The sequence below is a fragment of the Homo sapiens genome, chromosome 11 (genome assembly GCF_000001405.40).
Source record: "Homo sapiens chromosome 11, GRCh38.p14 Primary Assembly".
In the NCBI taxonomy this organism is placed as follows: Eukaryota; Metazoa; Chordata; class Mammalia; order Primates; family Hominidae; genus Homo; species Homo sapiens.
The window spans coordinates 112,750,163-112,763,157 of record NC_000011.10 but is presented as its reverse complement, the minus strand read 5'-3'; the positions used below and the strand labels follow the sequence as shown (position 1 = coordinate 112,763,157).

Below are 12,995 nucleotides of genomic sequence, written 5' to 3'. Positions count from 1 at the left end.
TGGAAAGAAAAAAAGCCCTGAATACTGATGGCTGTGCAGCTGCTAGAAGTAAAGTTTCCAGAATTGCAATGAGCAGCCTTGTGCTGGAGTTTTATGTCATTTGCTTTCAATTCCATTTACAGTTATTTCTTGTTTTTATATCATGTTTTATTGAAATCCATTTTTTACTTTCATGCTTGAGGCTCAGCCATGGATGTTTCCCTCCTCCCCCCATCTTCTGGCTCCTGAGCACGTGACGGTTCACATTATGCAAACACCACAGAAAAAGGTTTTGAAGTATCATGAGGTTTTTGTCCCTGTCTGTATTTCTCAGAGATGAGTATTTATTTTTCTGAAAGCAGGCTGGGGATGCAGCCATGCAATCCAGGGTGCATTTCAGAATCCACCGGCAGCCTTGTTTGCCGGGGACAGAGGCCTCTCCTCTCTTGCTTTTGTAACTCTCTAGGGAATGCAGTCCAGTTCTGTGCTCACCATGAGCCCCATTACATGACCTACTGACAACTGACAGACAGACTAGATTTTCCCCTACTTTGAACTGCAGGTTCTTTAAGTAGAAAGAGAGAAGAAACAAAAATACAGTCTTTGAGCCTCTGAGGCAAACCAGAGCATGTCTGGAAATGGAACCGAAACAGGGGTCAGAGGCTTCTCCATTTCCTGCTGCCCCCACACCTGACCCTCCTGGTCTTACCTGGGAGGCTGCCAGATCTTCTCACTGGGCTCCCTTCCTCCATCCTCTCCCAGCATAGAAGGATGTTCCCAAATGCCACAGCCATCAAGTGTCTCTCCAGCTCAAAACCTCCAGGGCTGCATGGGACCTGACCCCCTCACAGCCTCTGTTCCAATCAGGCCAGGCTCTTCACCACTCTGGCCCATGCCAGGTCACTTCCACTCCTACGTGCTTGGCTGGGTGTCCTCTCCTCCTGGAAAGGCTTTGCATTCTGGTCTGCCCCACCTCCTGCAGAAAGCTTCCCTGGCCCACTCAGTCTGCTCATGCCCCCTTCTAAACTGTGGCTGTTTGGGCACACTGTCCCATGTCTTGTGTGAATACTAACTGTGCATTGAGTGCCCTGGCTCTTGACGGAGTCTGCATAACCAGGTGGTAAATAGAATCTGTGGTGTGGTTTGGCTGTTTCGCCCCCTCTAAATCTCGTGGTGAAATGTGACCCCCAGTGTTGGAGGTGAGGCCCTGTGGGAGGTGTTTGAGTCATGGGGGCAGACCCCTCATGAACGGCTTCATGCCCTCACCATGATAATGACTGAGTTCCTGTGAGAGCTGGTTGTTAAAAAGAGGGTAGCAGCTTTCCCTCTCTCTCTTGCTCCCTCTCTTGCCATGTGACACGCGTGCTCCCCCTTCATCTTCCGCCATGAGTGGAAGTTTCCCGAGCCTTCACCAGAAGCAGATGCTGACGCCATGTTCCTTGTACAACCTGCAGAACCATGAGCCAAATAAACCTTTTTTTCTTTGTAAATTATCCATTCTCAGATATTCCTTTATGGCAATGCAAATAGACCAACACAACCTGAATATGAATCCATGGAGCCTGTATTATTTTATACTATGTAGTCTGTGCAATCTTAGGCAACTCACTTCATCTCCCTGTGCCTCAGTTTCCTTATCCATAAATTGGAGATTATAAGAGCACCTAATGCATATGGGTGTTGTGAAAATTAGTCAATATGGTGAGAATACTTAGAACAGTGTCCGGTACATAAGGAAACACTATACAAATATAAGTTTTTCTTATTACTAGTTCCAAATAACAGAAAAAAACTCAAGACAGCTAAAATCTTCAAAGGATAATTTATTATTATACAGAAGGTTATACAAATGTCTTGTGTTAATAGAATCCAAGGGCAGGGAGGCGTCTGGGCCTCGGTGGGTACTGACGCCAGATGGGAAATTTGATGATTCGTGAGAATCAAGTTCCTCTGCTTCATCCCCCAGCAGGAAACACAGCCCCCGTAGCTCCCGAGTTACCTGTCGCATGGAGAGAATAAAGCTCTCCTCACTATTTCCTAGGGAAATCCTCTGATTGGCCCAGTTTGGTTCAGGGCTTCATCCTTCATCCAGTCAACTCTGCCCAAGGGGGCAAGGCATGGCCACGTTGCACAAAATGCCCACAGGGGCTTTGTTGTTGAGTGCTGTGTGCATGTGGGGGTGGTTACTGAGAGAAAAGAACCCATTGGCCCTTCAAATTGTGCCTTCTACAAGTGCAGAGGGCTCTCTATACTTGTCCTGTATTAGTTCACATGTAGCACAGGATGCCTCACATAGCGGGTACCGGTTATAGATTAACCAGAGTTGAGATGTAGACTCCAAATACCAGGATTGCAGCTCACTGGGGTTGCTCATTAAAGTTTGGAATAAATTAGAGTCTGAGAGGTTTCCAGAACTCCTTTCTACTTGAAGCAAGGAAACAGTGCTTTTTCCTGCTTCTCCTTGTATTGCCCTCCCCACCTCTGCCATGTGCCAAGATATTGGTCCCGGGGAGCAGCATTAATGAGCTCAAATTGTAGCCAGAACTTTGGAAATCCACAGTTACCAACAGTCTCTTTGTCCCGATAGCCAGCAGAGGCTAGGGCTGCCCACTCAGCTGGGCTGATCTCCCTTTTCTCACAGTGAATGGTCTATCAGGCGACAGGCACTGAAAGGTTTCCTCTGGGCACTGACTGCATGGGTGTCAGCCTGGGGGGTCCAAGCAGTGTGGCAACAAAGAAGGTGCTGGAGGAATGCCTCAGCTCAGGTCCTTCGTAGGAGTGAACTTAGACTCCAGGGAAGAGTGAGGATGGGTCACTATGGGAATATCTCCTTCATCTTTGGCTCCAAACCTCCCAAATTCCCACACACAGCTCATTCACATCGACAGAGAAAAAGCACGAAGCTGCCTGCCCCTATCCCACTCACTTTCATTGGGGAGGGCAGTGGTTCTCAGGTTCTCAGGCATGGCTGCTCATTAGAATCATCTGGGGAGCTTTGGTAAATGCTCATTCCCAGGCAGGACCCCAGATGAATGAAATCAGATTCTCTATGGATATGACCAAGCATTCATGTATTTTTAAAGCCCTCCAGGTGGTGCCAATATGCAACCAAGGCTGAAACCTTCAGTGTTAGGGCATTCATTTGTTCACACAACTCCAACCACCCTTAGATAACTTGAGAACCTTTATGTCCAGCCCCACACACTCACTCTCTCTCTGTCCTGAGCTTCTCCTTGCCTAAGTATATCCTCTCTTGAATAACTGATTGGCATGTGAAGAATGTTACTTGTGCTGAACTCTTGTTTCTTCCCTCCCAATTCTTTCTCATCACTCTGAGCTCTTTTATCCATTCAAACCTGGGTACAGAACATGGCTAATCTGCTTAACTCCTCAGTACCTCTGTAGTGGGCAGACACTTCATTTGTGCCACATTAACTGGTGCTTATGTTGCTTTATAAATATATCACTCATTATAAGCTTCTTGAGAGTAGGAGGGACCATGCATTCTATTTTTGGCTTGTTTTTATATCCTCCCAGAGTACCTAGTAAAATGTTGACTACCAGTAATGTGGCTGCCCAAAGATAGAGGAAGGAGAGTGCTGGCCAAGGATGGTTTCCACTGAGCCAAATCAGGGCTTCTGAAGGCTGTGGCTTCTCTATCAACACTCTCACCGCAGGGTTGCATTACACCAGTCGTAGGGAGAGAAAATTCCCCTTACTCTTCTGCTTAAAAGTTCTCTTCCCTTTACATTTGGGAAGAGTATGAAAGGAACCCTGGAAATGGGTACTAGGAGGTTCCATATGTGTTGATCACAAAGTGGGAGAAGCTTAGTAATCACAGCTACCACCCATATAGTACTCAACTGTGCGTCTGGGGTTTTTCATACAACTGTTCACAATGATAGTATTATTAAACATTTCTGAAGCTCAGAAAGTTTATTTTCCCAAGGTAAATGATAGCGCTTCAAAGAGCCCTGCAATGTTTAGTAAGGCAGGTAAGTTCCAAAGCAGACTTGAAGCAGGAAGATGAGAATCAGACAGTTGTCTTTGTCCTCACTCCAATCAACCTCCCTCCTTATATTTAGTGACAGTTACCCAGGCAAAGGTTTGCTGATTGCCCTGAGGTTGCCCAGGCTGGAGTGCAATGGCGCAATCTTGGCTCACTGCAACGTCCGCCTCCCAGGTTCAAGCAATTCTCCTGCCTCAGCCTCCCAAGTAGCTGGGATTATAGGCACCCCACCATTATGCCCAGCTATTTTTTTTTTTTTTTTGTAGAGACAGGGCTTCACCATGTTGGCCAGGATGATCTTGAACTCCTGGCCTCAGGTGATCTGCCCGCCTCAGCCTCCTAAAGTGCTGGGATTATAGGCCTGAGCCACCACGCCCGGCCTCATTATCTTTTTAAGAGGGACACAAAGCCACATCCACATCTGTACCTTTTAGGGGTACAGAGGTCAAAGATATCTTGCACATGCACACACACGCACACATGCACACACACACACACCCCACAGCTAGATGGGAGCAAACACTGAAGAATAAATATACCTGACACACAGATATGCAGTGTAATTATATGCCGATAAAGATATCTTTATCGGCATATAATCATTATTGCAGTGGTGTCATCTTCTTCATCATCATCATAATCAATCATCATCATCATCATCATTTCCAATTGGGAACAAATTGGTTGCAAGTAACAGAAACAACCTCAGGCTAGCTTAGGGAAAACAAGGGAAATGTACCACATGGCTGCAGGATCGCTTTAGAAAGCAAAAGAAAAAAATGCACTGGGCCCCAGGAAGGGAGGTAGGTGCTGCCAGCACACTCTGTCTTCCCTCTCTGTGTCTCTCTGCTTGTCTCCCTAAGACTTCTTTTCCATGCTTCCCAGTCCATACCACACAATGTGGCTGCCCAGAATCCTCGAGTTTGCCTATTACAGTCCCAGACACCTGTGAAGCTTAATTTCTCTCTTAGTGCCATTTCCAAATTTGTGGAGAAGAGCCTCCAACTGTCCCATTTCAGGTCCTATACCTCCTAATGACATCCCTTTTCCCATAGAGTTGGCCAGTGGGGTTCCGGAGTGAAGGGGGCATCCGTCTTTCTGGATAGGAAGGAAATTATCAGAGAAAGGGGGAATAATTGTGAGCTGGAAATTTGCCCCAACAAATAATAATAGCATAAACGTTAATGTATTGGTCCAGATACTAAATTAGGGGTTTTATATTTTTCTGTAGTTCTCACAGCAATCATTCCAGGTAAGTATTGCCATTCCCATTTTACAGAGAAGAAAACTAAGGAAATTAGAAATTACCAAACCCCAAGACATTGCTCTTCATGGATTCAAGCACTTTTGGAATCTTTTCCTTCTGGAGATCAGGTTGGGCTGTGTGTCAGGTATGTTTATTCTTTAGTGTTTGCTCCCACCCAGCTGTGGTGTGTGTGTGTGTGTGTGTGTGTGTGTGTGTGCAATGCCTCCGTGGGTCTGCATGTTCATACTCTTCCATGGCTGTGTCCTGAGACTCTGAGAATGCTCATTTTCTAGTGGGGAGAGAATGTTCAGCTTGATCCTGCCAGCCTGAGTCAGTGGAGCCACAGGCCTGGCTGGCTGGGACAAAGACGCTCTGTATCCATCAGGAATGTAGTGACCTCATCATTGCTTTCTTCTGTGGCTTGGGTTTGTGTTAAGCAGAAGGAAGAGAGATTTGGGGTCAGGGCTTGGTGCCTGGGCCTTCAATCACATACTCCTCCATTCCCCTCTCCTTCCATCTCAATAACCAATCTGGCCTGAAGCAAGAACTCTGGTTTCATCACCATGAAGCTAAAATGGAGCTTGGGCTGGAGCTGGGGGTTCCCCCAGATGGTGGAGCAGGAAGGCCTGGAATAGATAGATAAAGGACTCAAGAATGAGGAGACCTGACTACAGCTTGGCTTTCCAGAGCTGGCTGTGGGATTCTCTTGAGACCCTATCACAGCTTCAGATTCCCATTTTCCTCCTCAGTCATGTGAAGGGCCAGATGACCTTTAGTGAAGTACTTTGGAAAGTTAACCCTGGGATCAATGAGTGGTCTCATCCTTTCCCCTTGTCTTTTAAGGAAAACCATGGCTTAGGATGAATCCACAGTGGATGTGGTAGTCTTCTTTAGGTATGTAGTGCACAGGTACAAAGGATGTCGTCCTGAGCACAGATTTAGGCGAGCACTGCAGGGGTTTGTAATCAGTTTTGGGTTTGTTTGTAGGTTTGACAAGAAAGTCATAGACTACCCATGTTATTGACTTTCATCTTTGGGCCTCAGTTTCCTCAGCTGTGAGAAGACTACCCAGCTAGACAGTTTCCAAGGTGTCTTTTGGCTGTGACATGTGATGAATGGCTCAAGTAGCCTGTGTACCCCGTCCTCACTGTCCTGCTATGTTCCTGCTTCAAACACCCATTTTCTAGTCCATAATGTTCCAATTGTTAGGGCAAGAGACATAAAATTTGTGGTGTGTGTGTGTGTGTGTGTGTGTGTGTGTGTACGCATGCACATGTGAGAGACAGAGAGAGAGAGAGATGGATGGTGGGGAAGAGAAGAGATGAGAGTGAGAATAAGAATAGTGTTCCAGGAATCTGTCATGCATTAATTGGTTCTCATAAACCAAAGCTATCAACCCTTCCATAGAAAATACAAGCCTGGATAATAAACCAGAAATGATGGTATGAATGGCTTTAAATCCTTCATATTTTAGGCCACAATCACCCTGTTTGACCCCAGAGTTTGACACAGACGTTGGCTTAGGGACCAGCAGCCTGTTCCTGCTGTGTCCCTATGCCAGCTGGAGACACCCGGCCTCGGAGGCTCACGTTATGCCGACCCCCACCCCAGTGCTGTCACGCCACTGCCAGTTGTTCCTCATCTTAATCCTACTTCATGGTGGTCATTTTAAAAGCATCAGAGCTTTTGACACAGAACCAAAGGTAAATTGCATTTGCCATAAATGTGGGAGGGGTCCTTATAAGGTGGGGCTCCTTATGGGAGCAATTTGTGTTGGACACCACCTTGCAAGTGAAATAAAAACCTGGTTTATTCCACTGGGGCAACTTCTCTTTATAATTTATAAATAGGATTTTAGTAGGACACTCAAAAGGATTAGTTGAGAAAAACTGAATTCACATTTGAGGATAAACTGTGCGCAGACACAAAGCTTCAATACAGCCAATTACAAAGAATATTCGGCTATAATGGCCCTCTAGGGCTGTGTTAACTCCAATCCCTCTTTCTAAGGATGGCGGGGAGGGAAGAGGAGAGGCTGGGGACAGTCTGTGATCTGGCCTGACTTGGTGCCTCTTCCTTTTCCTCTAATTCTGATGCAGAGTCTGTTGTACCGCAGTCTGGCACCCACCAGAAAGGCCTCTTTTGGGCATCAGGAATGATAGCAGATTGTGGATTTCTCAGTGTCTGTCTGCAACTGCTCAATATTGAATGTATGTAAGACACTTGCTTTGACCAAATAGAATCCATCAATCATATCACTTTCCTCTTTCATCTTCAATTTTCACCCCTAATTGTTAGGATACAGACTCCCACACCAGAGAATCCTCAAAGGGGACAACTCCCAAATGGGAAAGCCTCTGCGAAATCTTTTTTGCTTGTCATGTCTTCGTTGGTGGTGGGAGGGCTTTTGGGATCTCCTAAGGTATTGGTTAGGATACTGCCTACCTTCTGGGTTTAATGATGTGTATGGAAGATTTCCCATTCTATTCAAAAGCCCTTTCCTCTATAGTTGTTTTCTTTATCTCCTTTTGAATCAATTCCACCATCTCTGTCTTCTCTCCTTCCCATCTACCCCCCGCACAAACCCTCGATGAAGTGGCTGAGCTGAAAATCTATCCCTTTGAACAAATTCTACTTCGCTAGTACTTTATTATCTACTTGTTCTTAATTTCAATTGTATGAAGGCAGTTACCATGAAATGCTATGGGAACCTACCTCACTTATGTATAAAGCCAATCATTAGGGCAAGACTAATTACAAGTAGCAAATTAAAAATCCGCTTGGGTTGAGTGAGACTGTTATGATAGAGTTGCTTATTTCTGACTTTAGTGCTCTCAGAAGCCTCCTAGACCTCCTTAGATCAAAGCATTCTGGAAGAACAAGGCATTATGGCCCAGATTGAGTTTACACAAGACATTGAGAGATCTTGGGTGTCATAATTATCTTCTCAACACATCAACTGGCCACTGGCTTTCTCCACCAGACCCTATCTTATGTGGCATCTCAGAGGACTCTCATTTCAATTCTTTATTACCTCATAGCCATAACCAGCAGCTCCCCACCCAATGTTGCCTTTTGAGGGACTTAATTGATCAATAATTCTGTTTAATACCCAGCAGGGCATTGCAGTGAATGGGCCCTTTCTCTCCATTGGTACCTGTATTTGGTTTTCTTCTTTTTTGCTATGGATGAAGATATCTCATGGATGAATGATGCCATTGTGAGCTTGGAGAATACTAATATGGCAACAGGTCACAACATGCGTGACAGGAAATAGAACAACAGTAGAAAAACATCTGGGACATGCCTTATGGACAAGCGACATAAAGACCAGACAAGAAAGAAGAAAGGAAAAGAGGTGAGAAGTCACATTAGAAAAAACTTACAGGAAAGCATTGATTCAACCAAGGGCATAAACTTCATTGAGCAGCTGGAAAAATTGACATTGTCTGGTACTTGGAAAAGAGGTTTTGTTCTGAACACTCCTGGTCTTGGATAAAGGGAGGAAATTTTAACCATCCCAGAGAGTCAGGGGCTGCTTCTGCAACTGAGGTTTGTGCCTGGTACTTACTGGAAATGGCTTTGCTTCCTGAAAGGTGAAGGTGGAGAAAGCTTATTGAGAGATCTCTGATTGTGGGTGTGAGTTGCCTGGGGGAAGGAAGTGACACATGATAAATTAAAATCAGTTGCATGGTCAATGGGTAAAATGAATAGAGCTAAAGTCTGAATCTCACATATACATAATTTTTTTTATCAATATGTATTGTGGGAATTCTCATTGTAAGAAAGTTATTGCAAATCAGCTTGTAAGTCCCCTAAGAAGCCTTTCTTGATTCCCTTCCCTTCCTGATTTTTTTCCTCCCTCTCTATTTCTATAACTAGGGTGACCAGGTGTCCCAGTTTGCCCAGGACAGTCCTAGTTTGCACCTGTTGTCCTGATGTAATCATCAATAGTACTCCCTTTCATTTTCCTAAGTATCCTGGTTTCACTCTTTCATAATACTCTGCACTTCTCCATATCATAGCACTCACTGATCTGTGTAATAAATGATTTATCTGTATCCTTCATTAGACTGAAAGGCCTCTGAGTACAAGCGTCTCGTCTGTCTTATTCACTGTTGGATTTTCAGTACCTAGTACTGAGCTGGGCACACTGCTGGCACCCCAAAATGTTCATTAGGTAGACAAATAAATGCCTATGATCCAACTCAGGTTCCCGGGGTGGCCTGGCAGGAAATGCTTCATGGGCTATTCTGAGCAAGGTAGCAATCACACGGAGAATACGGGAATCAATTAATCAAAAGCTTTTCCCGATCCCACCCTTAGGTAGACTGATTTATACATGTTGGTAGAGTCCAGCCCCCTCTGTCATCTGAGTGTCATCTGAGTGTCATCTGTACAGGCAGCCCAGGTCACTCTTTTTCTGTATAGTCGTTGTATAAAAAGCCAGCATGGGCTGTTGTCCACATGAATTACTCCCTGGAAATAATGCTGTCCTGAAAGACCAGCAGCCTGAGAGTAACAGAGAAGAGGGGCAGCAGCAGGGGCACTGATGGCCAGGTTCAGCTTGGCCACTCACTGACGTTGGGATCTTGGTCAAAGCACTTCACCTCTCAGCCTTACAAGAGAAAGGTCCCTTCCAGCTGTCATCCTCTGTAATTCAGTGACTATCCTAGGGTTCACTAACATAGCAGTCAAGGGCTGCGAGCCAGGATTATAATCATCTCAATGGAGAACTAGAGATTGCCTTTGGGGTACTCTACATTCAGTTTCGGTAGGGCTTGTTGCTCAGCAAAGCCTGTCCCAGGGTTCCTCTTCCACCCCTGAGAGCCCTGCTAATCAACCCAGAGGTACTGGCTGCCCTGCCAGGCAAAGATGAGAAGCATTTAGGAGTATACGATCCCAGGTAACCAGCCAGGTATTTAACCAGGATAATCTAGAGCAGGGTCACTGGGTAAACATTCTGGACTGTGATTGAGAAAGAATGCAAAGGATCAATCAGAGCTGTGAGAAAAAACCTTCAACAGGGAAATGGCAGCATGGGATCAGAAGACAGAAATACTCAATACGGTGTGGGAAGCAGTGGGCAAAGCTGGAGAGGCAGAGACAGCAGCGTGGATACTGCTGTCAATCAGGGAAATACTTGAGTGGTGCCGTTTTTATGGAGCTGTGGGTGTGTGAAAGGCCCAACTGCTGAGAAGGCCTGGAATGCTAGTGACTACCAAGGATTCATACAAAATCATGATTGGGGTTATCTGAAATTTAACAGAGGATTCCTGAAGATGCAAACCTTCATCCAGAAAGCAAATTCTCACATGACGGAATTTCAGATGGTATGGCAAGCCTAGAGGAGGAGCTATTTGGAGCCACTAAGATTGGGTCATAAAGCTCCTGCACAACCTGCCTTCCTCTAAAGCCAGAGTCAGTAAGATAAGCCAGGATCTAGGGGAATTGTTGAATAAGATCGGTGAAAGGTCCTGCAGGTTTTTAAGCCTCCAGTGTTACCTGAAAGCTGAGGATGACAAGTTGGCCAGTCAGGAGTGGAGACAAAATCATAAGTCTGTGCTTCTAAAACTGTCCCTTTTGGAAGAGTGAGCATGTGCTCCTGGGTTTTGGGAACATAAAGCAGTTCCCTAAGAAATCACAGGTTCTGCTGGGACCTGTCCCACATCTAGGAGTTGATCAGCTGCTACTCAGATACTGTGAAACTGAGGGCCCTCAACTGGGGGCTGCCGCCAAGGGAGGGACCACGGACTCTCAGATAGTGACATCTTATGTCCCCAGAGAGCAAAAGATTCCCTGGGAACTTAAGAGGAGTCAGGGAAGCCGGGATGGCTCAGAAAGCAGCCTGCTCCCTCCCTGCCACCTCTGAATCCTGGGGTTTTAGAATCTCCCTGACAGTTTGGCAACACTTGAGGTAATAGCAGCAGAGCTAATTTGCTAATCTGCCAGAACTGCATCCAACATCCTTTTGTGCACTGACACTAGAGTAATGGGAAGGCACTAGCTCGGCCACTGTTTGCCTGCTGAAACTAAGCTATGGCATTCTCTGCATAATTCATTTGTGCATGAAATGGAAGCCTAATAGCATAAGTAAAACACTAAGCAGAAATAGGTGGTAAATGTCTTTTTTAAGTCTTAAAGATAGACTCTACTTCACTTATAAAGCCCAATTTGGTAATACTTAATGGCATGAAACACTTTTCTCTGGAGCCATACCTACTGACTGCTTTTTGATCCCCCTACCTTCCCAGGCCCCTGCCTGCTGAGATAGTCAGTCCATCATCCCCTTGACTCTCTCTGCCTCCCCAGCCATGCCCTTGCAGATGGCACTGAGCCCAGCATCCTGTCCTCACAGGGCCTCTTACCCTCCCGCAGGGCCCACTGTAGCAGCAAAGGCTGGAGGCATCCAGGTTCCAGGCCAGGCCAGGCCTGGAAGGTCCGAGCTTGCTGGTAACTGAGCTCAGGGAACGGAGGCCCTGTGGTGAGCTCAGAGGGGCAGCAGTAGCCAGGGCCAGGGGGTCGTGAGTGGGAGGAGTTGGCCTCTGTTCTTCCAGAATTGGGAGGGCTCTGCTAAAACAGCTGCTTCTCAGTAGAGGAGCCTCAGGCCAAGTGAGTCTGCTCAGAGCCCGCTCAGAGCCCGCTCAGTGCCCGCTCAGTGTTCAGATGGGTCAGGAGCCTAGCACAATGGGCTTTGAGCTTTGTGGGTCTCTTTCCGGTTATCCCTTGCTGCAGAAGAAATTATCCTAAAACATAGTGACTTAAAACAACAGTTTTATTTAGCTCACAATTGTATGGTTTAGGAATTTGGGAAGAAATTGGCTGGGCCATTCATCTCTGAATCTCACAGTGTCATGTGGGGCAGGATCCACTTACAAGATGGTTCCTCACACCTGCTTCCGGTGCCTCCTGGGTCCTCTGCTCCTCTCTGTCTCTGCACTTCTACAGGGACCTCTCCAGCGGCTTCAGCTTCTCACAGCATGGCCCTCAAGGCTGGTGCCCATGAGGAAATGTTCAAAAGCAAGCAGACGAAGAGGCACGTGGGGAAGCTGCGACTTCTGTGACCGAGCCTCCAAATCCCCAAAGTCACACAGCTGCATTCTGGACTTACCAAGCATGTTGGTAAGTCCAGCCATGTCTAAGGGGAGAGGAGGCGTCAATCTCATCTCTGGATGTGCACACAGGGAAGGAAGCATTGATGGATGCCACCTTGGAGGCACAGTACCACAGTCTCCCAGTTACTCAGGTAGGACTCAGGCTCTGAATCCCACTCACCAGTTCTCACTCATGATAACCAACACACCTCCACACTTGCAAAGATGCATGCCTACGCTCCCAAGTACACATCTTTCCGATAGGTCAATCGCATTGGCAGTGGGTGCATACTTTATAGGTTTAATGGGTGTCTACAGACTCAAATTATCTTCAGATATAGAAAAATATATTTTGGAATATACTTGAGTACTTTTGTATTAGCTCAATGGACCATGACTAATGCATTATCCTGGTTCTATGGCTCACATTCTGAAAACCAAGACTAGCCTATTCAGTTACGTGGCTTCAGTTCCTCAAAGGCAATGCCCCACCTTGAGTTCAGGAATCTTCAGGTCTCTGGCAAGTCCCAAGGCAATAGTTTCTGCTGCAAGTGACAGGATGGGAATGAGGAGGAAGTTTTGAGTCCTGAAGCAGAGGATTGCAGAGAGAACATCCAACCAGTTAATGACTCCGGTGGCAGCTTGCTTCCACCTCCACCTCCCTTTT

At 46.2% G+C, this 12,995-nt stretch overlaps 1 annotated feature.

The window, feature by feature from the left end:
• Positions 1,129–1,238: an enhancer, noted in NCBI's record as "active region_5536". NCBI's record gives its function as "activates an Ori minimal core promoter by ATAC-STARR-seq in GM12878 lymphoblastoid cells {active_cell/tissue: GM12878}" and the evidence as "EXISTENCE:reporter gene assay evidence [ECO:0000049][PMID:35858748]".